At 45.3% G+C, this 25883-nt stretch overlaps 1 protein-coding gene across 2 annotated transcripts in view, besides 3 other annotated features; it reads right to left on the reverse strand.

Annotated features, from left to right (window-relative positions):
- Positions 1 to 1716: 1716 nt before the first annotated feature.
- The window catches only part of CFDP1 (craniofacial development protein 1), a 139794-nt gene continuing 115627 nt past the window's right edge, over positions 1717 to 25883 (reverse strand). The window contains exons 6-7 of one of the 2 annotated variants that reach the window (NM_006324.3): positions 13031 to 13189; positions 1717 to 2049 (exon numbers count right to left, since the gene is read on the reverse strand). In NM_006324.3, coding sequence (NP_006315.1) covers positions 1959 to 2049; positions 13031 to 13189 — 250 coding nt within the window. In that variant the 3' untranslated portion in view covers positions 1717 to 1958. Of the gene's footprint in view, positions 2050 to 13030; positions 13190 to 25883 lie in introns of those variants that run through there. The other variant, XR_007064846.1, reaches the window with a different exon arrangement.
- Positions 13159 to 14358: an enhancer, noted in NCBI's record as "MED14-independent group 3 enhancer chr16:75339050-75340249 (GRCh37/hg19 assembly coordinates)". NCBI's record gives its function as "activates an origin of replication core promoter dependent on BRD2, BRD4, P300/CBP and CDK7 cofactors, and independent of MED14, by STARR-seq in HCT116 cells {active_cell/tissue: HCT116}" and the evidence as "EXISTENCE:reporter gene assay evidence [ECO:0000049][PMID:35650434]".
- Positions 15645 to 16145: an enhancer, noted in NCBI's record as "H3K4me1 hESC enhancer chr16:75341536-75342036 (GRCh37/hg19 assembly coordinates)". NCBI's record gives its function as "activates a minimal SCP1, AML or CMV promoter by ChIP-STARR-seq in primed H9 embryonic stem cells {active_cell/tissue: H9 hESC(primed)}" and the evidence as "EXISTENCE:reporter gene assay evidence [ECO:0000049][PMID:30033119]".
- Positions 25123 to 25172: an enhancer, noted in NCBI's record as "active region_11127". NCBI's record gives its function as "activates an Ori minimal core promoter by ATAC-STARR-seq in GM12878 lymphoblastoid cells {active_cell/tissue: GM12878}" and the evidence as "EXISTENCE:reporter gene assay evidence [ECO:0000049][PMID:35858748]".

The following is a 25883-nucleotide window of genomic DNA, read 5'->3' on the forward strand; positions in this document are numbered from 1 at the left end:
CTTACTATGAACTCAGCACCATTCATTCTATTGGATTTCAGATCATTTTTCAAATAGGGAGAGAGCCAGCTCACGTGTTGCTGAGACACTGGCTGCTGAGATGAAGAACTTTGTGAAGCGCAATGGAAGAGGGACTCAGAACTCCAGAGAAGAGTTAGGGAAACAGTTGCCAAATGGTGGTGAATGACGGATGATGAGCCAGAGAGTACCATGTGGGAGGACATTCACATCAAATCTTGGCTGCTACCTCCTGAAGGTCTGGATGTCCTCTAATCAAAATATTGGCAGCTCTTAGGTTATTCTTTTTTTGTTTTTCAGACAGGGTCTCACTCCTTTTGCCCAGGCCGGAGTGAAATGGCACGATCTTGGCTAAGTGCAGCCTCAACTTCCAGGGCTTAAGTGATCCTCCCACCTTAGTCTCCTGAGTAGCTGGGACTACAGGCATGCACCACCATGCCTGGCTAATTTCTTTTTGTATTTTTGGTGAAGACAGGGTTTCATCATGTTGCCCAGGCTGATCGTGAACTCCTGAGCTCAAGCAATCCACCTGCCTCGGCCTCCCAAAGTGCTGGGATTACAGGCATGAGCCACCTGGCCCACCTTCCTCAGTTATTATGTCCCATTTGGGACCATAACTAAGACCTCGCAGGCCGCCTGTTGTGACGCTGGCCTGAAATGCTCTACAATCACTTAGAATTATTTATCAGAGGGGATGTGAATAGACATTGTGTTCAAATTTAGCTTGTAAACTACCTTTCTGAGTAATAAGATCCATAGCCCATAACCATCTAGTGTTGACAGTTGGGTCTTTGTTGCTATGAATTCCCACCACATTAGAGGCCTAGATTGGGAGACCTGCCATAAACTAGTACTCACACCCGACGGGTGTGTCATTAGCTTACTCCACCCCTTGGAGGTACTAGTGTTATTCATGCCATTTGCAGACCAGAAAATGGAGGCACAGAAAAATGACCTGTGGTCAGGGCCACAAAGCTGGTACAGCAAGAAATGGAATGCAGTCTTAGGTAACCTGTCATCACCCAAACCTGTCATGGTACTCGGGTAACACACATGCACATGCAGGCACACACACCAGAAGCAGGTTGTGGGGTTTCCCGCTTATTAATATGAATGGTCTCTATCCCTCTTTCCCTCTTCACTGAAGATGTTACTCTCTTACTCTCCTCCCTGCTGTTCTGCAAAGAATGTCTGACTCTAAGCAGGAAGTTTGAAATTTACATTTTCTTATGAGTATAAAAAAGAAAATCCTTCAGAATATTCTTTGACAAACTAAAAATTAATGAATTATTGAAGTGGGAGCATATCTGAATTTAACTTTTCTTTGGGAAGAGGAAAAAGGCTGAAGGGAAAAAACAGCTAATTCAGCAATAATATATCCTTATTTTCAGCCTTACATGCCATCAGTAGGAATCCATTCAGGAGAAAGAGAGATCAGAAGAGAAGCCCGAGTGGAAATGAGAACAAGCTGCGAAGGGGCCTGGCATTCCAGTCACTCTAGTGAGCCGCCTCCTCTAGGTCTTCGGGGCAAGGCTGGCTGCAGAAAGAGCCTCTTGGCCCCGGAAAATTCACACCCAGGTTGGTCAGCTATCTTCACCATGCCTGGCAAGACCTCTGCCAGCCTGGACAGACCTGGAATGTGCTGTCTTGAACTGGGTGGGACTTTGCGGCAGAATAAAGGGAAGGTGAGCGAGGTCGTCATCTTCATTATCCTCTCACAGGACCAACTTTTATTTTATTTATTCATTTAAGGACAAATTTTTAAAAGTAAAGTGAATGAAACCATTTGTGATTAAGATACATAGACAGAACTTCAATGTAGAAAAAAAAAAGACCTTGCTGGGAAACAGATGATGAGAAACACTGTAAAACATTTCACAGACGCACAAAAAGCTCACATTGTAAACAGGATTAAGCTGCTCTTGATTTAGCCCGTAACATCAAGGTTTCATTTTGCTCAGCCTGAGATCTCGCTCAATTTCAAACTGCCTGTGATCCACTCGGTCAAGGAAGGCTTTCCGTTCAATGTACCTAGAAGATGAAAACAGTGTTTGTCAGTAGAATCCAGTAGGAAAAACTCCTCCCCTGCACAGTCCCATCCCCCAGGGATAAACTAAGTTACAGTAAATGGTGCCGAGAGTGACCACCCATGACTCTTCCAGTACAATCCAAACCACTCACATTTGGTCTAAACAAGGATGGTGAAAATAAAAGGAAGGCAACAGCTTATCAATGAGAAAGTATATTAGAGGCTGGGTGGCAGGAAGATGTTGCAATTTTCTAACAAGACTTTAAGGGCAGAAGAAAGAATACCGGTTTACACAAGCATGGGTTCAAGTCCTAGCTCTAGCTCACTGATTAGCTGGGCAAAGGAATGAACATCTTTGAGCCTCACTTTTCTCTACAGCAGCATGGTGATGCTGTTTTTCTTGGCTTTAGTGGTGTGTTGAATTGGTGGGTAAGAGAAAGCTAGGCCTCCTGCATACATACATCAAAACATGAAAAGGGGGCATGTGGTAATGAAGGAAAGAAGACAGTAAAAATGACCTCACAGGACTGCAGTGAAGGTGAAGTGAGCTGAGGTTCATAAAGTGCACACTTTAGAAGTGATTTAACTGCTTTGAGCTCTTTTCTTCCCCTCATCCTTTTCTCCTCTCCGCAGTATCCTCCACCCTGTTTGCGTCTAGGTTGCTTCTGCTAAGATGACAGGAGAACTCTTTCCCTAAATGCCTCTAAGAGAATGAGTTTAAGGGCCTCTGATCTCTCCTTTCAAGGATCCCCTTGAAAGGTGGACACTCTGCTCCCTAATCTGGTTGGGTTCAGCAAACTTTCCCTCTGTCCTCCAGGCAGGACGGGAAAGCAGCAAGGGCTGAAGCACAGGCGCGCTTGCTAGGAGTGAGGCTGGCTGCTTAATGAGACACAGCTGCATCTTAATGCACCTCCTCACCATAAAGCGTGCTGCGATTTGCCTGGGCGGAGGAGATCTCTGCTGCTAATTAATCTATGGAGAGAGCAAAAATTGCCATGGAAAATGGGAGACAAAATTGAATCTCTGCACTAATTTTTCTTTTGTTGCACTGTGGAAAATATGCATCTGTCATTACAAAGTCATTACATTTATAGTGAGAATGCTACCAGGTTCAGAAACCTGTGTTCCCCTGCTGAGTCCAGGGCCTTGCTTTCCCTTCCAACAGCATCCTAGGAAGTACCATCCATCCTACCTCATTTCCAGCTAGGCCTGACTACCCTGACCCTTCTGGAGGGCTGGCCAGAAATGTACAGGCTCTGAGGCCAGAGGGCTGGAGGTTTGAGTTCTGTCATTTGCTGTCTGTGACTCTGCAAGTCACTTAACCTTGCTAGTTCTGTTTCCTAATCTGTAATAAAGATAATAAATAATGGCTAGTCATCTCCACTCTGAAGGACTGTTGTGTGGATTAAATAAAATAGTGTCTACATCACACAGGGCACAGAGCAGGTACTCAATAAAATGACAGGTAATGTTATCATGGTTTTAGGAAGCCAGCTTCCAACAGGCTCCCAAGGACAGTAGATGGCCCAAGTCTGGACTTATGGTTTCAGCAATGAGGAACCAAAACACCTGGTCTGGCTCAGGTACTAAGCTGCTGTGTCAAAACCGTCAATGAGGCCAGAATGGCTGGAAACACAATGACAGGGCCTGCTCTTAGGTTTGATAAAAGCCCTTGGGGTCAGGATTGTCAGATTTAACAAATAAAATTACAGGCTGCCTGGCTGAATTCGAACTTCAGAGTCCCTGGCAGTCAGGGAAGCTGCAGACAGCATGGACCCCTTTAGATAAAAAGAGAAAAAGGGAAGACAGGTAGGGAAGTGTAGACATCTAACAACAAACTTACTTCCCACCTCCCACTAAGAGACCCGTGATTCTTGAGTGGGGGCTGCTAACCAAAATGGTCTCAGAGGCACGTTCACTACAACTGGTCATCTTTCCACCCCAGCCCCACCAGCCCAAGGGAGGCTCACTACCACGGGGACCAGGATTTTGACAGCACTGCACTTTAACTGTCCCCTGGAAGTGCTAGCAGAAAAAAGAGAGGTGAGCCTCAGCATGAGATCTTGCTGTGCTGTTGTTCACCTGGGGGTGTAAGAGGAATTTAGGGTGTGTTTCAAGAGCCATCTTCCAGTGCTACCTGTCTGGGAGATCAGGTGGAGGGAAGGAGTAAGTATGTGGCTTTAAGCATTTGGGGTCTTTCTTCCTGACTTTATTTTTTTAAGACAGGGTCTTGCTTTGTGGCTCAGGCTGGAGTGCAGTGGTGCACAGTTCACTGCAGCCTCGACCTCTCAGGCTCAAACAATCCTCCTGCTTCAGCCTCTCAGGTAGCTGGGACCACAGGCACACACCACCACACCTGGCTAATTTTAAATCTTTTGTAAAGATAGGGTCTCTCCATGTTGCCCATGCTGGTCTCGAACTCCTGGGCTCAAGCGATCCTCACCTTGGCCTCCCAAGTGCTAGGATTACAGGTGAGAGCCATCGGGCCCAGCCCTGACTTTCCTGTAAATAAGAAGTGACACTTAAATGAGGATGCTAACTGGGTACGAATAAAGGTCCTGCACGTTCCCAGAAGCTGTGTTGGGTCCAGCTGACTTTGAGACTATCAAGAGTGAAGCCCAGGTTGGGTGCTAAACAGGCAGGTGCAGTCAGAGTTTAGGTTTAGGGAGGCCTCAGGCAGCAGTGAGGGGAACATGTGCAGGATGCAACTGAATTCTCAAGGGCAACCCAGACAAAGGCCATCAAGGCAGGTCTGGTGACTATTCCCCAATTCACAGCCATCTGCAGCTGCTAACAGGATGCCTGTGACGGCCTTGGTTTACTGCCAAGAGCTGACCATGAACAAAACTACTTGATATGGACTCTCCCACTGCCAAGAGACAGAAAAGGTACTAAGAATGACAGTAGCTCTGACATTTAGTTTTTGTGTGACTTTGGGCAAGATACTTAATTTTCTGTGCCTTTTTTTCCTTCTCTGTAAAACAGAATAACAATTACAATAACCCTCTGGCAATCCAATGAAACTGTGAGAAGTGCTTTGTATACAATAAAACAAAAAATAGCTATGGGAGTTGTCATGGGCTTGGGGTTCTTGCTTCCCATTTCTTGTGTGTGTGTGTGTGTGTCTGTGTGTGTGTGTGTGTGTGTGTGTGTGTTTTTAGTAGAGATGGGGTTTTGCCATGTTGGTCAGGCTGGTCTTGAACTCCTGGCCTCAAGTAATCTGCCCGCCTCAGCCTCCCGAAGTGCTGGGATTACAGGCGTGAGCCACTCTGCCCGGTCTTGCTTCACATTTCTTCTGACTTGACTTTACCTCTACAGAACCTCAAAACCCAGGGCAACCGGAACAGAGACCAAGAGACTAAATGTCCCTGAAAGAGGAAGGGCTCATTAGAAAGGCCACCTCCTCAAAGGTGGCCACTGAGACTCAGGACATTTTCATGCACTTTAAATGGGTCACGGTCCCAGAACAGACCCACCTGAGGACAAGTGCAATGGGAATCACGGCTCTTGCTCTTGATGTGTCCGGGTGCTTTTCTGGCCTGTGCGCAGCCCTTTTGGGGGCCCAGCATGACTCAGCCCAGTCCACAGGGAAGCCTAGTGGTGGGGGATGCATCATCCCTTTCTGCTTCCATTGCCTTCTGTGGCCCATTTAAGAGGCTCTTCACTTTCTTTAATAAAATATGCTAAGAACCTAAGGGATTTTCTAGTTTTTCCTTTTAGAACCAGGTTAGGCACAACAGGCTCTGACATCTTTTGAATCTTCCAACCCAAATTATTTATCTGCCACCAATTTCCCTGAGATCTAGGCCAATGAAAAGGGAGGGAGAAATGGAAGCAGAGGACAAGAGAAGGGTAGAAAATGCTACTAGGGAACATGTCAGTACAAGGCGAGCATCCCAAATCCAAAAATCCGAAATCTGAAGTCCTCCAAAACCAGAAACTTTTAAAGCACTGACAAGACACAAGTGGAAAATTCCACACCTGATATCTTTGCTTTCTGATGGTTCAATGTACACAAACTTTGTTTCAAGCACAAAATTATTTAAAATACTGCATAAAATTACCTCCAGGCTTTGTGTATAAGGTACATATAAAACAAATGAATTCTGTGTTTGTTTAAACTTGGGTCCCATCCCCAAGATTGCTGATGACGTAAAAGCAAATATTTCAAAATTGAAAAAGGTCTGAAATCTAAAACACTTCCAGTCCCAAGCATTTCAGATAAGGGATATTCAACCTGTATCTGGGAACCCACCCTGCAGGAGGACAGAGGGCCTTTGAGGGTGGTAAGGCCCAATGGAGTGCTGACCCGACGTAGTCACCCTGGCTGAAGTCCCTGAGATGCCTCCTGCACCGCTGGTCAGGAAGAGGGAGAGCACATGGAAGTGCAGGGAAACCTGAGGCAGTCACTGAGGACACTCCAAAGCTGCATTACTATCATGCTGCCCAGACAAAGCCAGCATTCTGTTCCCCAAGTGAGCATTCAAGGCAGCACAGACACAGGACAAAAAGTGGGTAAATGCATTTTCCAACACCACAAAGCATGGGCTACGGCAGCACTCCGAGGCTAGAATAAAGCTCTGGGAATGATGTACAGAGATACAGACTTTGCTGCCTCGAGAAATGCAGTTGAAAGAAGCAGTTTGCCCAATAGTACACCTCCCGCCTTCAGGAGGATTTAACTTGCAAACATCTCAAGGGTTAGACTGGAAGGGCAGTTTCTAATTAAGTTTCTTCTCCACTGCCTTCTTCCCCTATCACCTCCAGGTTGTGCTGGTTCTGAAAGAGTGACCCTGAGGAGTCATGAAAATATATTTTTTTGGAGAAAGAAAATTATTTTCTTCAGTCCCTCCTTCATGCCGCTCCAACTCACAAAAACACCTGGTCTCCAATTGTAACCTTCAATTGATTGATCAGACAGCAGCAGCTGGGACTAGCCAGTGTTTCTCTTCTCTATGCATGGATTCCTCCCCTTAAGTCAGTTGGCCCCCGCCTTAGCACTGCTAGATGCCAAGCTGCTGCTGCTGATCACCACCAAGAAATCTGTGTAATGGGTTACAGGACTGCAGGGCTGATCCTGGAATGCTGTACTGGGCCCTGGGAGTCTGGAGCTCAGAGGAAAAGCAGCAATTCTTTGCTGGACAAATGACTGTCTCCGGTACAGGCACTTCAACCAACTCTGCTGACTGAAATGACTCCTGGATGGAAACATCATTCTGACGTATTATGCTCTTCTTTTCTGGGTGATTAATTCTAATCCTACTTGGCCGGGTGCAGTGGCTCACGCCTGTAATCCCAGCACTTTGGGAGGCTGAGGTGGGTGGATCATGTGGTCAGGAAATCCAGACCATCCTGGTTAACACGGTGAAACCCCATCTCTACTTAAAAAAAAAAAATACAAAAAATTAGCCGGGTGTGGTGGCGGGCGCCTGTAGTCCCAGCTACTCGGGAGGCTGAGGCAGGAGAATGGCGTGAACCCGGGAGGCGGAGTTTGCAGTGAGCTGAGATCGCGCCACTGCACTCCAGCCTGGGGAAAAGAGCGAGACTCCATCTCAAAAAAAAAAAAAAATTCGAATCCTACTAGACTGCCAAACAAAAGCCATGACTATCTGCTAGCTAGTGGGATGGGTGTTTAGACACTGCCATGGTGCAGCACCTGCTCTGGGCTGGTAACAGAATAGGGAACAAGATGTTGCCCTCAGGGACTTACCCTGAGGTAACAAAACATGTTCATAGATGAACAAAACATGACAACATGCATCAGATGATAGTAAGTGTCACGGAGAAAATCAAACCGGGTAGTGTGACTGAGGGTTCCTTGGGTGGGGGTACTCTAGAGTGCCATCCGCATAGAGCCCTGGATGACAAATCAGAGCCTCCTGGGGAAGGAGCACTACACAGAGACAGTGAGGCTGGGCTGCAGCGAGCTGGGGGAGAAGAGGACAGAGGTAGGCAGGGGACAGCTCGGGGAGGGCCTGGTTAACACTGATTTGAAGGGTTACCCGGGGGTGTTCCGCAGGGAAGAGATGAAAAATGGTATTTTTAAATTACTGCTTCCGCTGCTGGGTGGAGAATGGATGAAAGGGTACAGAGGTAGAAGCAGGGAGCGGAGCAGATGTCTGCGGCCTGTACTGGGGTGGTGGTAGTGGGGCTGCGTGAATAGAAATAAGCTGAAGTATTTTGTGATGAAACCATCAATTGGACTTGTGGGATGTTGGTGGAAAGACAGGAAATCAAGGATGAAGCCCAAGTTTTTCTTTTTTTGAGACAGAGTTTCGCTCTTGTTGCCTAGGCTGGAGTGCAACAGCATGATCTTGGCTCATTGCAACCTCCGCCTCCCGGGTTCAAGCAATTCTTTAGCCTCAGCCTCCCAAGTAGCTGGGATTACAGGTGCCCACCACCACGCCCGGCTAATTTTTGTATTTCAGTAGAGATGGGGTTTCACCATGTGGGCCAGGCTGGTCTCGAACTCCTGACCTCAGGTTATCTGCCTGCCTCGGCCTCCCAAAGTGTTGGGATTACAGGCGTGAGCCACCATGCCTGGCCCCAAGTTTTTCTTTTAACAGTAGGGTAGACAGTGATGTGCCATTTTCTAAGAATTCTGAGGAATGAAGGTTCTGTTTATGGAGGGAAAGCAAGTATTTGGTTTTGAAAGTTAAGTTTGATGTGTCTTGGACAACCAGAAGGTGATGTCAACTAACAGCTGAAATGTAAGCCTGGAGCTCAGTGGAATGGTCAGGGCAGGGGATACTTTTTTTTTTTGAGTCTTCAGTAGAGAATGGTAGCTGCAACTTGCAACTAGTGAGCTTTCCTGGGGAGGAAGAGATGACTGCCCAGGGCCCAGCCCTGGGACCTCCCAAGTTTAAAGGCCCAGGGAAGGAAAAAAAGCCAGCCAGGGATTCTGGGAGGAGATGCCACCAAGCTCTACTTCCCACCGCTGTGGAAAATATTCCTGAAGAGTGGGCAGGAACACATCAGGAAGAAACTTAAAGGAATAAAGCATCTAGCTTTCCAGTAAGGCCTGAGGCATGGTGAGGTCAGTAATGGCAGGTGGGAGAAAGAAAAGCGAGCACAGGACTCATGGAAAAGGGAGAAGACTGCTATTGATAAACATGCCCGGCCTTTCTTCTACTTATTTAATTCCCACAATAATCACGAGAGGTATATTAAAATGTGTCTACTTTATATATGAAGAAAATGGGGCTAGTACCTATGGTATGGGAAGAGCCAAGATTTGAATTGTTTATTGTAAAACATAATATACATACAGAAGAGTGCATGAACTGGGCAAGGGCAATGAATCATTATAAAACAAGTGCTCGCATGGCTCTGACTTGGTTAGAAGTAGAAGGCTGGAGCGTCGAGGAGGTGCCTGTATAATTCTTCCCCAAAAACCTGCAGCCTACTCAGGTGACAGCCTGCCCAGAGCCTGTGTCTGTGTCTTCATTTCCTTGCTTTAAGTTTCTTTTTTCTCAACATTAGAGTTTTGTTGTGTCTTTTTTTTTTTTTTTTTTTTTTTTTTTTGGTAAAGAGACCGGGTCTTTCTCTGTTGTCCAGGCTGGAGTGCAGTGAGTAGCTGGGACTATGGGTGCATGTCACTGTACCTGTCTTATGCCTCTAGAATTTTGAACCTGTGGTCTAGTGATTCTCAACCTTGGCTGTGCATGAGAATCACCTGAGAAGTAAAATTTAAAGATGCAGATATTTGTGACCTACCTGTTCTAGACTCTTGATTCAGCAGCTCTGTACAGAGGTGGTCACCTGAACTTTGGAAAATGTCACCAGAGGATTCTCATGCTCAGCCAAGGTGAAGAACAGAGCTCCAGTCCCTTCACTGGCCTAGGGGCTGGGCTCCTTTAATCCATCTGCAGGAGCCAGAAAAGGAGAGTGAGTGGAGATGTGGGGCTGGGCACTTAAGAAGGCAGATGAGAAGGGCTGAGGCAGAGCACAGAGCCAGTAGATCTGCACTGGAAACATGCAGTCACATCTGTGGAATCTGGCTGGGCGAATGAGGGGAGAAGCCTCAAGCAAAGGAGGGAAAAGCAGAGCATAAAGGAGGATGGTATTAGTTAGTTGTTCCCTAACCCAGTTATGTGACTTTCCACTGCCTGAAAAGTTCTCACTAGGCAGATGTTCTTTTTAATCTTGTTTTCCCTTCCAGTCTACATTTTGTTAACTCTTCCTATCTTTAACAGCACCATTCCTTACTTTTTTTTTAATTGAAAATTTTTATTTTTTGGGCCAGGGTCTCACTCTTTCACCCAAGCTGAAATGCACTGGTGCGATCAGAGCTCACTGCAGCCTCAATCTTCTGGAGGTGAGCAATCCTCACACTTCAGCCTCCCAAGTAACTGGGACTACAGGTGTGCACCACGTCCAACTAATGTTTTTGATTTTTAGTAGAGGCAAGGTCTTGCTATGTTGCCCAGGCTGGTCCTGAGCTCAAGCAGTCCTCCTGCCTTGGCCTCCCAAAGTGCTGGGATTGCAGGAGTGAGCCACTGCTCCCAACACTCCTTACTTTTCTAAGACCTCTATTAACTCAAGCAGAGTGAACACTGTCCAACTCATATAATCAATATTCAGAGAAGCAATAATGTGTAGCACACGCTGATAGTTCCTCTGCTGTCTCAGATCACTGTGCAAGAGTGGAGAACAGGACAGAGCTGCGAGTTACTGGAGCTGAATCTGAATGGAGAGGTTTGGGGCGCATGTCAGAGCTACCACTCGTGAAGAGACAACACTGCACTTCATCCGGAGTCTTCCCCTGATCACTCTGGCCCCCTCTCCCTGTCCTGTAGCATTCCAGCTTAGGCTGATCTAGAAGTCTGCTAGTTAAACAAGCTCATGAAGCTGTTTAAAATGTTTTTTTTTAGGGCTGGGCGTGGTGGCTCACACCTGTAATCCCAGAACTTTGGGAGGCCGAGGCGGGTGGGCAGATCACCCGAGGTCAGGAGTTTGAGACCAGCCTGCCCAACATGGTGAAATCCCGTCTCTACTAAAAATACAAAAATTAGCTGGGCGTGTAGGCGCGCGCCTGTAATCCCAGCTACTTGGGAGGCTGAGGCAGGAGAATCGCTTGAACCCGGCAGGCAGAGGTTGCAGTGACCCAAGATCACGCCATTGCATTCCAGCCTGCCCAACATGGTGAAACCCCGTCTCTACTAAAAATACAAAAATTAGCTGGGCGTGTAGGCGCGCGCCTGTAATCCCAGCTACTTGGGAGGCTGAGGCAGGAGAATCGCTTGAACCCGGCAGGCAGAGGTTGCAGTGACCCAAGATCACGCCATTGCACTCCAGCCTGGGTGACAGGGTGAGACTCCATCTCTAAATAAATAAATAAATAAATAAATAAATAAATAAATGTATGTATGTATGTATGTATGTATGTTTAGGGAAAAAAAAACCATACTGGTCAGCTTCCAGGTTCATTTAGATAATCTTGAAGCCTAATTTAGAAATATGACCCCCCCCAATAAATCCTTTGTCTATCATTAATAAACTGAATGAGCTGGGTGCAGGGGTGTGCCCCTGTAGTCCTAGCTACATAGGAGGCCGAGGCAGGAGGATCGTTTGAGCCCAAAAGTTTGAGACCAGCCTGGGCAACATAGTGAGACCCTGTCTCTTAAAAAAAACTTGAATGACTTCGACTTAACGCAAGCCTTTATGTGACAGGTGTTCTGTAAAGTGCTTTATGTATATTACATATACGTAAGCAATACATATATTATCTCATGAGATCATCACAACCACATAGTGAGGATGGTATCGTTATCCCAGTTTTATTGGTAAAGGAGCTGAGCCTCAGAGGTGTCCAGTATGCTGGTGGAGAAGAGCTTACTGGTAAGAAGCAGAGCTGCCGAGCAGCCAGGGCTCTCTGGTGGGACACTCAACATTTCCTTTCATGGCTAGGGGTGAGGACTGTTGATTTTGAGCCATGAAGCCACTTCTGTGGTAACTTCCTTAGTGCCTTCTGAGGTCCGTAAGTACTTATGAACACCTTTTCTTTCTTTTCTTTTCCTTTCTCTCTCTCTCTCTCTTTCTTTCTTGATACACAGTCTTGCTCTGTCACCCAGGCTGGAGTGCAGTGGTTCAGTCTTGGCTCACTGCAACCTCCACCTAGTGGGTTCAAGTGATCCTCCTGCCCCAGCCTCCCAAGTAGCTGGGATTACAAGTGTGCACCACTATGCCTGGCTAATTCTTATATTTTTAGTAGGATGGGGTTTTGCCAGGTTGGCTAGGCTGGTCTCGAAATCCTGACCTCAAGTGATCTGCCCGCCTCGGCCTCCGAAAGTGCCAAGATTACAGGTGTGAACCACCATGCCTGGCCACCATTTCTTTCTTGATTTTTTGTTTAATCACCAGTAAGACAAATATGACAAGGAAAGGACCCTTTTTACAACTGAATACGTAGGTTATGAACATTCTCTTTGTATTCCACAGCGAAGAGAAAGAGGTGCAAGTGATGGCCTGGGGTGCTGTCTGAGGGCCTGGCCTATCACACAGGCTATAGCCAAGGGTAAAGCCCCACCCCAGGCCATAATGACACAGACAAAAAAAAATTCACAATAATGCAACATCTAGGCATTCCATTGGCTCAGTTTTTGACGGATCTGAACTAGTTTGGTTTCTCAGAAGGACAAATGATTCAGATAAGGCCAAGGCTGCTACCACAGGCCAGATCCAACCACTAGGCAACTTACAGTTCACTGGAGCTGTAATTCAGCAAATTCAGCTTGGCAGATGTGACTGGCCCCTGAGAGTACTCCTCACATGCCCCGCCTTCCCTCCACCCGCAGTGGCCTTCCCAGTGACAGGCCCTGCCCCACACTGGAACAGAGACTTACTGACAAACCAAAGTGCTCACATTTTTAGTTCCATCATGAAAAGCTCCTGCTTGCTTACAGTGGGCAGTTTGTCTCCAATAAATCATTTGATTTCAGGGTTCTGAGGATTTTCCAAGGCATAAAACCTACTCCTTCTTACCCCTCTTTCCCTCGATTATGGATGGCCAGTTCTTCACCAATCCCCTCTTCCTCCTTGAAGCTCTCCCAGTCCAGTTTGGACTTCTCAAGGGTGCTCATTTTCTGCTTCTTGGCACCAATTTTCCCCAAAAGGCTGCTCATGCCACTTGATCTTTTTAACCTAAGGAAAGAAAATATGAAAGATGTAGCAGGTAAAAACTCTGATCTCTATATTAACAGTTTTTCTGATGCAAATGGGAATCCCCTAGATTGGGGCCATTTATCTTAGTGGAAGCCATGTTCATATTTGGGGCATTTCCTTCCTGGTGTGGAGAGCACTGTAAGTAAACTGGAATTCTAATGTGCTTTTCCTGCTTAACACCACTGTCTGCTCTCCTGAGCTACGAACAGGAAATCCTGCCTTCTTCAGACCTCTGTGGGCTCTGTGTGGCAGGTCTCTGCTTGCAAGGAGGGGAGGAGCAGCGCTTCAGGCAGGGCTTTGGAGTCACATGCCAAGGTCCAACTTCCAGCTTAACTGTGTGACTCTAGGCCAGTTATTTACTGCATGTTCCTTGGTTTCCTAATCTACAAAGCAAATGCTTACTCACAGGCTGTGGTGTATCTTACACGTAAAGGGCTAAAACAGCACTTGGCACAGCGTCAAGGTGCAATAAGCATGAGCCACTCTGAGTCACTGTCATCGTTTAAGCTTAAAGCCCCAGGGGGTTCTTTTAAGAGAAAGAGAACCAGTTCCCAACACTGATGAGTGAAAAGTCACAGTACTGTAAGAGGGTTCTAAAATCAGTTTCCTTTTAACTCCTGTGAGTTGGGCCCTGTTTTTTCCAGGAGGTGGAGAACATTCCTCACTCCGAAAGCTCACACGGGGAATGTACAGCCTGTGCTCCACTTGCTGGTGATGCTATCATGGACAGTGGGAGAAACCCCAGATGCCCAAATTCAAGTCTTGGCAGGTCAAATGTTTCCAGTCATTGTTAAACATATGAAATAAAATAAGAAAAGCAAAATGCAGTTAAGATGGTATGAGGAAAGGTTTGGTCTCTTTATGAAATGAAACGAAATCATCTACCAGCATGTAGGAACTTGGAAGTTATTTTCCGCCTCACGGGGATATGCAAGAAAGTTAAACATTTAAAAACTATGAGCTAATGTCACATGGTCTACTGATAATAATACCTTTACTTGTCTAGAATGTTTGTTCTCCAAGTGCTTTTGTAGCCATGATCTCATCTAACTCTCACTAAGGCCTGTGACACAGGACCCAGTCTCAGAGTTGGAAGGGATCATCTTTGAAATAACCTAGTATCACCCTAACCCATTCTGAAACCCCACGTCCCTGCCGCAAAGCAGCGTGAACGACTACTCACCCCCTCTGCCTGGTGTGAGCCAACAGGCCAACGTCCACACTGAACACCAGACTGCTGGGACTGAACAATGACCCTGAACATTCTCATTCTATTAACTTTAGTAGAGAGGATGTCAACTTCCCTGTTTGGGTCACACCCCAGTACATGCTGAGCTTAAGATCAACTCAGAATGGGCTGGGCAAGCTTCATCATCCTTGTATTAAGTTGGACAAATAAACAAAGTTCAGAGAGGTTAAATGATAAAACAAGGGTCAAAACAATAGACAATGCAGATCCGGGACAAAGGAAGATCTCTCCCAACTCTCAGGGTGGTGCACTGTGCTATCTCGCCTCCAGATGAGAAGTGACTTGAGAGATTTTCTCATTAGTTACTTTACTTCCCAGTTTGCTTAAGAGAACTCCAAATAGCTCTTTATGAGCTTTCAATTCATATCTTCTAAGCACTGTTTTCCAGACAACTCAACCCCTACAATGTCATATGTGCGCGTGATCACACACACACACACACACACACACGCACACACACACACTTTCTTTTTCACCATTTTACCAGGAACGGAGCATGAGTGGGGATATGGAAACTTACTGTGTCTCAAATCTTTTTCCTTCTCATCTTCCTTACTGCTACTGCCCGAATTCTCATTCTTATATCACCTGGATAATTGAACAGCCTCTTTACTGGTCTCCCTGACCTGTTTTTCCCCATCCTCACTCAGTGGCCCTATCCTGGTATCTAGTGACATGCTGTAATTAGACTGAATTTTCCAAAACACAAAGCTTAGCATGTCTTTCTGCTTAAATGTCTCTTCACTGACCCCTTTTTATTTTTATTTATTTTTATTTTTTGAGACGGAGTTTCTCTCTTGTTGCCCAGGCTGGAGTGCAGATGCGTGATCTCGGCTCACTGCAACCTCCGCCTCCCGGGTTCAAGCGATTCTCCTGTCTCAGCCTCCCAAGTAGCTGGGATTACAGGCGCCTGCCACCACACCTGGCTAATTTTTTGTATTTTTAGTAGAGACGGGGTTTTGCCATGTTGGGCAGGCTGGTCTCAAACTCCTGACCTCGGGTGATCTGCCCACCTCGGCCCCCCAAAGTGCTGGGATTACAGGTGTGAGCCACTGCGCCCAGGCCCACTGACCCCTTTTTAAAACATAATAATTAAAATAAATTTTTATGTATTTACTTTTTTAGAGACAGGTTCTCACTCTGTTACCCAGGCTAGAGTACACCAGTGAAACCACAGCTTACTACAGCCTCAACCTCCCTGGGTCAAGTGATCCTCCCACCTCAGTCTCCTGAGGTGCAGAGACTACAGGTGTGTGCCACCACGTTCAACTATCTTTTTTATGTTTTGTAGAGACAGGGTCTTGCTATGTTGCCCAAGGCTGGTATCAAACTCTTGGACTCAAGCAATCCTCCTGCCTTGGCCTCCCGAAGTACTGGGATTATAGGCACAAGCCACCATATTAAGCCTTATCTCAGCTTTAAAACCACTTCCTCCAGGAAGCCTTCCCTAACCTCTAGATTAGGTGTCCCTGGTGGTATTTCTATCATACCAGTTCTTTTCATATGGGAACACTGATCTTTTCTTTAGATGCTTGTGAACTCTTATTTCAGCTGCAGCTGCACTAGATGGTTCTGGGCAAGTGCAGACTCACTGTTGACAACACCCCACCAAAAGCATACGCATGAGGACTTTCCATTTCTGGCTGCAGGGTCTCCTCTGAGCCTGCCTGCATGCCACAAGTACTGCCTGGACAGGTGGTGGAGCTCAAGCCATTGGGGCTAGCCTGAAGGAACACAAAAGCTGGTGGTTAAACGGCCAGCCTCCTACCCTCACAAGGTAGCTATAGGAGGTGGAATGCTTCTCAGAAGTTCTGGTGGCATCAAGCCCTCGTGGCCTTGGAATTGTACTCTTATATTGACTTTTCCTCCTTCCTTGTCTCATTCTTTCCACCACTCACACCTGCTTCCTGGGATCACTTCCCAAATAAACTCCCTGCACTCAAAATCCTTGTCTTATGTTCTGCTTTGAGGGGACTCTAACTAAGGATTTTAGGAGAAAAATTATTTTCCTCGTGTAATCTTTATCTTTCTGTGGCTATTTAAGTTCCTGTGTCTCCAAACCTCTCTACCCATTGATAGAGTTCTGTGAACAGTGAGCACTCAATTAAGTCAACAACGTCACCTGGATTACAGAACCAATTCATGGAAGAGAATCAGATATTCGCAGAACTAAGTATTCTTTAGAGCGCTTCTACACTGGAGATTTTAAGGGGAACAATTCACTTTTATTCTCCCATCAGCTCTCAACAGCCCAAGGTTCCCCATTTAATTTGGGCAGCACCACAAGCTATGTACGCCACCTCTCCCCTTCAGCCTACAGCTCCAGTGGTATTCCTGGGTGAGGCCATCTTATTGACGAATTACTTTGAGAAGTCTATGAGAAACTTGATTTTTTGATGCACAGCAGTGAGGTTTCCAGAAAAGGAAAAAAACCATAATACCCCTTTGCCTTGCTCACCATTAAACATCAGTAAAATGTCACCTGTGCTATTATGCTTTTGGGGAAGGCTTCCAACTCTCCTTTCACTGGGTCATTAACAAGGTGTAAGATGTCCTAATGTGATAGTCTCTAAAGCAAAATAATCTGTCTTTTATTTGAGGCTAAATCAAAGTGAATGACACACTGATAGCAGCAGCCAGAACACACAGGGGGCTCATGATAACCAGGAGACCAGCAGCTTCTTCCTAGAACCTGTTTGTGGGCTCCCTCAGGGTTCTGAGCCCTCCCACTCACTCTCCCACCCTGAGAGGGGTTTCAGTGTCCTAATCCTGGTGTCATTTCAGCACAGCTTTCAGAAAGGCAGATTTACTGTGACCTTGCCGCTTTCTCTGCCACAAAGGTACATGAACCAGGCTTTCAGGAAGCCGAGGCGGGAGAGAATCAGTCTCTGGGCAGGGGGCGCTGACCCTATTCTGAGAAAGAACACAGAAAAGCCTACTTCAGCCACGCACCTCCGAGAACTATGGCTAGCAGGGGACAAATCAGCACTGGCTCTCCAGGCATCTGGCAGCTGTGTATATTGGAAAACTGTAGAATGGGGAAGTCAGAATTCCCTTGGAGATTTGTTTTCATCAAGAACCAATCCAACCGGGCGCTGTGGCTCATGCCTGTAATCCCAGCACTTTGGGAAGCCGAGGCGGGCGGATCACAAGGTCAGGAGATCGAGACCATCCTGCCTAACACGGTGAAACCCCGTCTCTACTAAAAATACAAAAAATTAGCCGGGCGTGGTGGCAGGCGCCTGTAGTCCCAGTTACTTGGGAGGCTGAGGCAGGAGAATGGCGTGAACCCAGGAGGCGGAGCTTGCAGTGAGCCAAGATCATGCCACTGCACTCCAGCCTGGGTGACAGAGTGAGACTCCATCTCAAAAAAAAAAAAAAAAAAAAAAAAAACCAATCCAGTTCCAGACCAACAGAACCACTGGTTTCTTTGTTCTTTATCCTAAGCCATAGGGCAAGGTACTGCCAGAAAGTCTGCTTTAACAGACCACTCTCCAGACAACAGTACTTCATTGAGTCAAGAGACTCCTCACCCACCTGTTGCAAGTCAAAGTTCAAAGAAATGCACCATGCACTTGCTCACCCAGATTACATCCCAAATGTTACGCTGAGGCATTCTGGAATGTTATTACCAAGATGTTTCCAATGTCACAATGACATTGCAACCACCTCCTCCTGAACATCACATGACTTTGTTGACCTTACTACCATAAATTTGATGTAAAGACTAATACTGTTCAAGGAGTGTGGACTTTGCTCTCACCAGCCAGCTTCCATGCCATAAGAGAGAGTGGCTGAGTGCAGCTCATACTGGTGAAAGAGACACTTATTTTCCAAGCTTATCTTTCTTGCATATTTTGTTCAGTTATCCATCAATCAGCAATTATCAACTCCCTTCCCACCATGCCAAACCAAGACCTATCATAACACCAGACACCAACCAAGACCTTGATTAAGAAACTCAGAAAAGTAAAAGAGACACAGAATGTAAAATGACAAGTCATCTTTTTCTTTTCTAGGTTCAAAGTTTATAATGATAATTTTCTAGAACTTATTCTGCTTCTCTTTAGCAAAAGAAATGTAATTTTAACAAAAATGTCATTGTAACTAAACAATAAACTTCATCCTGTTGAGTCTGTCACAGAGATATTATGGTAACTTGTTTACTTTGTTCCATGTCCACCAGCATTGACTTGGATTTGTCCAACCGATTTATTTTGTAGCAAGAGCACTGTTCTATCTGACCACCCTCAGCAATGCCCGGGATCCTGCTGTTTGTTTAAAAGAGGTACTGGAAAGGAGCTGGGAGAGTAACTTGCCAAGTGGAAAGGCTGACAGGGCTTACCAACTGTTTGTGAAGGATGGTAGAAGATCTTTCCCGGAGATCTTTAAAATCATCCCCAGGTACCCAGCTGTTTCACAGAATAGAATTTTAGCTTTGGAAAGGAATTCAGAGTCATTCATTCATTGCATTCATTCAACAGAGATTACTGAGAACTTACTCTCTACCAGACACTGTGCTCAGAATGGGGATATAAAAATATACAAAGCTTAATTTTCGGCTTCAAAACAAAAATCTAGTGGAGGACAGATCAACATACAGGCAAACTGTAACCACATATTATGAGGGCACAAAAGAAGAGCTGAAGGGATGTTTAGTCCAACCTCCTTATTTTATAGATCAGTCAACTAAACTCCAAAAGGTTAAGAAACCTGCCCAAGTTTATAGCAGGAGACTTGGGGTTAGTACTCAGTGCTTTTGATGCCCAGACTACTGTCTTTTCCACCTTGCTTGGTGCTAGATTTAAGTCCAAGTAGCTGGGACTATAGACATATGTCACCAAACCCAGATAATTTAAAAAACGTCTTTGTACAGACAGGGATCTTGCTATTTTGCCCAGGCTGGTCTCGAACTCCTGGCCTCAATCATCCCACTTTGGCCTCTCAAAGTGCTGGGATTACAGGTGTGAGCCACTATGCCCAATCTACTACATTTTTAATGTACTAAATCCTCATTATTTGACAATGGACTTACCCAAACACTTTTTCTCATAACAAAATATTCAACACTACACTTGAACTGACAGACCAGTACCAAAAGTGGACCAGCAAGGATAGGGTTAACATGTGTACAGAAGCACCACTGATCTTTAATCCAAACTTCAACACGTGAAGGCTGGATTAAGTCTATGCCTTCCATCTAATAGCCTGCATAATCACTAAAATGCAACTTATTTGGAACAAAAATTCTTTGGCAGAGATATGCAGTTTCCTTAGTATTTGTCATCTGCTTACAATGTAGGAATGGACCTTTACAATTTTTTTTTTTTTTTTTCAAGAAAGAGTCTTGCTATGTTGCCCAGACTGGCCCCGAACTCCTGGGCTCAAGCAATCCTCCTGCCTCAGCTTCCTAAGTAGCCGGGACTATAGGCTCATACAATTGCATCCATCAGGAATTTTTGTAGCTCATTCATGAACTATTAATATTGTCCAGAGCCACGGAAGGTCTGACACTGGCCTGGAACTCTCTGAGAAACAGGATGAAAGCAAGCTTATGAAGATAATTCTTCGTTGAGGGCTGTCTGTCTTGAACCAACGTTTCTCTTTCGCATTTTCTCTGGAGTTAGCTAAAATCCGTAAGGCTAAAAAGTACAACTCAAATCCCTGGGCAAATTTCACTACTCACCTGTATAAATCTCTAAGTAATCTCCCCAAAGCCCAAGATTAGACCCCTCAAGGAAATGGACTGGAAGCCACTGATGGCATATTAGGGAGCTAGTTTAACTCCCATTCACTTCTCAACACTGTATTGACAGTACTCTATGGGACAACGGCCTCAGGAAAGCAGAAAACCAGAAGTATGACAAGAAGTTCCAAAGATTTTTAAACCTTTTGTGGCTTGAAAAATTGTCAGTACTTTTAAATCTATTAATAAAGTTGATAACAGTGCCAGCAAAAAAAGTGCCATCTATCAGCAAAAGGCAAAAAGAAAAGCTGGCAAGTAGCAACAGCTTTACCTTTTTTTTATACAAATAGAAAATGATTTATTCCTCAGTTCTATTGTTCTTTGCTAAGCCAATAATGAAGGGCACTTACATTTGTCTGATCTGATTTCAGCTGCTCTACATCTTTATAACGTGTGTCTAAAACATACCTATTTTAGTGATAGAAGTCCTGAATTCTAGTATCTCCAGAAACATATTACAGAAAGCCCTTGCCAACCCTTTCTTCCATGTGTTGTTGAGCAGAGGTGTGTTTTGCCCTGTTCTGGCCTCTCAGCTGACTGTCAGGGAGAACTAAGAAATTTTAGCTGACTTTGGTGCTATTTAAATGAAGAGCTCTTCCTATATAAGACACCACCATCCATTTGTAATTACTAAGACATGGACTGTTTTCCCAAAAGCAGTAGAGGTACTCTAAATGCACAGACTCCTGGTCTCTATTATAATCAAGGACATTCATTCTGAGAATGTCAGATGGGTATAGGGGCTCTGAAGTGACAGTGAAATGGACTTTTTCTCTGGGACAAGCTAACTGACCTGCTGGGCAGTCTCAGTACTAGCACCAAGAGAAAGCTAACATTCTTCTCTGTGAATAACAGTCCTTTACTGGTCTATTGTTCCACTGCAACCAGCCAACTCAGTGGCTTTGTGTCTCTTGCCACAAAGAGTAACGTGTTGTTTGTGTTTATTACTCTGCTTACTTCAGACCTTTCAGAGAAGCTCTACGTTTGATAAGTGTTAGGAAAGTGCAGATCCTCTTCCACACCCTTCCTTGGTGCACGTAAAACATCTGTGGTGCTTGGTTCGTGCATATAATGCAGAGAGAAATGCTGCAGGAAGATGTAAAAGAACTTGTGCTACCAGGTAGGCATGTGAGAGTTTTTTTTGTTTTTTTGACAGGGTCTCGCTCTGTCACCCAGGCTGGAGTGCAGTGGCGTGGTCTCGGCTCACTACAGCCTCTGCTTCCTGGGTTCAAGTGATTCTCCTGCCTCAGCCTCCTGATAGCTGGGATTACAGGCGCCCACCACCACACCCAGCTAATTTATGTATTTTTAGTAGTGATAGGGTTTTGCCATGTTGGCCAGGCTGGTCGCCATGAGGCCTGGCCTCAAGTGATCTGCCCGCCTGGGTCTCCCATAGTGCTGGGATTATAGGCATGAGCCTCCCTCCACGCCTGGCCAGCATGTGAGTTTTAAGGTGTGCGAATGTTCATTCCACTCTTGCTTCTGAGGGATGTTATATGGTGAAACATGCCTTAGTTCTTCAGAAAGCAAAATATCATCAAGCTGTCTTCTCTCTTTGCATGTATTCCCTTGAATTACATAAAAGAAATTCCATAGAGAATCTCAAGTTGAAAGTCTGAGTTGCTGCCCCTAACTAAAGCAAATGAGATTTCTTATAGAGTCAAATGAGTGAGTGTTCAGTGTTCACTGTTTTTTGTTTTTTTTTAGACGGAGCCTTGCTCTGTTGCCCAAGCTACAGTGCAGTGGTGCAATCTTGGCTCACCGCAACCTCCGCCGCCGGGGTTCAAGCAGTTCTTCTGCCTCAGCCTCCCGAGTAGCTGGGGTTACAGGTGACCGCTACCATGCCTGGCTAATTTTTGCATTTTTAATAGACATGGGGTTTCGCCATGTTGGCCAGTCTGGTCTCGAACTCCCGACCTCAGGTGATCCTCCCGCCTCAGCCTCCCAAAGTGCAGAGATTACAGGCGTGAGCCATCGCACCTGGCCTTGTTCATTGTTATATTTGTCTATTTGAACAGAAAGAAAAGGAAGTGAATAACTACCTTCAATGGCAGTAAGATAAGTTACTTAATGGGCTACAAAAAGGAATACCAATACATGGAAGTACCAATACCTGCTACAACATGGATGGACCGTGAAAACATTACGTTAAGCGAGAGAAGCCAGGAACAAAGGACCATATATTGTATGATTCCATTGATATGAAATGTCCAGAATAGACAAACCTACGCAGACAGAAAGTAGATTAAGGGTTGCCAGAGTCAAGGAGAAATGGGGATAGGAGTTGGGGGTGGTAGTTGCTGACAGCTAATGACAGATAAACGGTGTGGGGTTTCTTTTTGGAGTAATGAATATGTCCTAAGTTGTAGTGATGCACAATTCTGCAAATATACTAAAAGCCATTTAATTATAGACTGGCATGGGAATTATACCTAAATAAAGCTGTTTTGAAAAATGATAAATGACTACTCTTTCTCTAGGTACTGGATTTATATGCTCAATTTATCTTTCATCATTCAGAAAAATAAAAGGAAATGAAGGACAATATTTTTATTTTATAAATTTATTTTTGAGACCAAGTCTCGCTCTGTCACCCAGGCTGGAGTGCAGTGGCGCGATCTCAGGTCACTGCCAACGCTGCCTCCTGGATTCAAGCAATTCTCCTGTCTCAGCCTCCCACATAGCTGGGATTACCGGCACCTGCCACCACACCTGGCTAACTTTTGTATTTTTAGTAGAGATGGGGTTTCACCATGTTGGCCAGGTTGGTCTTGATCTCCTGACCTCAAGTGATCCGCCTGCCTCAGCCTCCCAAAGTGCAGAGATTACAGGTGTGAGCCACCATACCTGGCCAGGAAAATATTATTAAAGGAAAAATGTGTTTCCTGGATTCACAAAAGCATCACATAATTGGGCCATCATTTGGCCAACCTAAAGAAAGGCTTCAGCCTGGGCGACATGGCAAAACCCCGTCTCTACAAAAAATTTGCCGGGTGTGACGGTGTGTGCCTGTAGTCCCAGCTACTTGGGGGCTGAGGTGGGAGGTTTGCTTGAGAACGGGAGGCGGAGGTTGCCGTGAGCAGAGATCATGCCACTACACACCAGCCTGGGTGACAGAGTGAGACCCTATCTCAAAAAAAAAAAAAAAAAAAAAAAAAAAAAGAGAAGGGTTTCCCAGCACAGCAATTTATAATGATGATACTCAATAACGAGAAATGGGGCGCTGGCATTAATGAACCTTGAGGCTGACTCTTGCTTTTTCTTCTTTGTTTTTGTAACCTTAAGGTGGTAACTCAGAAGGGTTATGTACAAGAATTCCAGTATGGTCTGGTGAGGAATTCCAATATGGTCTGGTGCAAAAATCCCCCCAACTTTATAGTTTGAAAAATGTGAAACTGAAAGAAAAGTTGAAAACAGAACCACTATTTATCTAAATACGCTTCACTTAGATTCAATTGTTAACATTTTGCCACATATAACTTTTCTTTCTATATATAGATTTACTTTTTTGTGGCCGTGTGGAGCCATTGCATCATTTCACCTCTACATACCTTTAGCATGTATCTCCCAAGGACACTTTCCAACATACACCCAAGAAATTTAACATTGATATAATGACACAATATACAGTCCAATATAAAGTCCAGGTTCAAATTTCCTTCAACACACCTCCCAAAATGGCCTCGTTAGTTGCTCCCCATTCTCTCTCAAAATGCATCACATTTCAAAGTTTCTTTAGTCTCCTTTAATCTTGTAATCTAGCAGTCTCTTGCCTTTGGTTTTGTTGTTTTGATTTTTGGTCTTCAGTGTCTTGTTAATTTTTAAGAGTCCAGTCTGGTTGACCTATAGAATGTTGCTCATTGGATTTATCTGTTTCCTATGACTAGATTCAGGTTAAATATTTTTGCTGAGGATGCTAAATAGATGAGGTTGGGCACTTCTTACTGCACCATCATCAGAGGCACTAGTGTCAGGTCAGCCCATCCTGGCGATGCCAAGCGTGATCCCTTGGGTAAGGTTGTGACGGCCAGAACTCTCACTTGTAAAGGTACATTTTCCCTCTGTAATTAATTTGTAATTCATGTATAATATGTGAGATAATACTCTCAGGAAGTTCAGAAAGTTGACCGCTTCTTATTTCTTATGCCTCACTCTATAACGTCTTCGGCTACGTCTACAGACAGACTAGGGTGAATTAATAGTAAAGAATCCTATTTGAAAGGCCAGGCAGTGTGCTGGCTCACGCCTATAATTCAAGCACTTTGGGAGGCCAGGGAGGGAGGATCGCTTACGCCTAGGAGTTCAAGACTGTAGTAAGCTGTTATCGTGCCACTGCACTCCAGCCTGGGTTGACAGGATGAGACCCTGTCTAAAAAAAAAAAAAAAAAAAAAAAAAAGTCCTATTTGAAGGACAAAAATACAAATATTCAGGAAATCCCCAAAGGAGAGTAAAGCTCTAGCTGTAAAAAAGTCTTTAAAAAGTAAAAGAGGCCGGGCGCGGTGGCTCACGCCTGTAATCCTAGCACTTTGGGAGGCCAAGGCGGGCGGATCACCTGAGGTCAGGAGTTCGAGACCAGCCTGACCAACACAGAGAAACCCCATCTCTAATAAAAATATAAAATTAGCCGGGCGTGGAGGCGCATGCCTGTAATCCCAGCTACTCGGGAGGCTACTCCTACTGCCTCAGCAGGAGAATCGCTTGAACCCGGGAGGCAGAGGTTGTGGTGAGGCGAGATCGCACCACTGCACTCCAGCCTGGGCGACAAGAGTGAAAACTCCGTCTCAAAAAAAGATAATAAATAAATAAATAAAAATAAAAATAAAAAGTAAAAGAGCAGTTAACTAGAGAAAAGGCAAAAGGCTATGGGATCTTCAGCAAAGTCCTAGATTGGACAGGCAAGTGGCGAGGGCAGAGGCCTCTCTGGCCAACATGGAGGCCCTCGCCTAGATGAGTGGAGACTTCTCAAGGCCTGGTGCCTGGTACGCATGAGGGTTAAATGACACGAAGTCAGCAGCAAAGAAAACCTCTTCTGACCTGCCGCCAGACCTCTAAGGAAATGATACTTCTGAATTTCCCTTCCCCTTTGTCCACTCAAATGTGGTTTCATCTCCTCCCTGGGAAAGAGATAATGCTGCAGCCCTTCCCGCCTCTGCTCTAGCAATTTCCTTCTTTGAACCACTCCCATGGTGGGGGAGTCCTGGCAAAGCAGAGAAGGACACGCCACCATTTCACAGCAGTGTGGGAGTAAAGAAGGCCAGGGGGCTCTCCAAGGAGGAAATGTTGAGTGTAATGGAAACTAGATTCTGCCTGGGGAGGAGATGCTTTGCCCCTGAGGTGCGAACTGCTGTTGCTTTAATTTGTATGATTAGACACAGCTGGGGAGAATAATTTATTGACCAATACAAACAGACAATTTACATTTCTGAGACACAATTTTAAAGGAATTATTAAATACAGCTTCTAACAAAGACCATAATGACAACTTTATGCAGAACCCTGGGAGCTCAACAGAGGAAGACACAGCTTATTTTCCAGATACTGGTTCCATATGGCCTCCCACCAGTCACAGCCGCAGAGGCCAAGAAAAGCTGAGGCAGAGTCAGCATCTGGCATTAAAAGTCAATGACCTGGCCAGGTGTGGTAGCTCACCCCTGTAATCCCAGCACTTTGGGAGGCT

Source organism: Homo sapiens, chromosome 16 (assembly GCF_000001405.40).
Source record: "Homo sapiens chromosome 16, GRCh38.p14 Primary Assembly".
In the NCBI taxonomy this organism is placed as follows: Eukaryota; Metazoa; Chordata; class Mammalia; order Primates; family Hominidae; genus Homo; species Homo sapiens.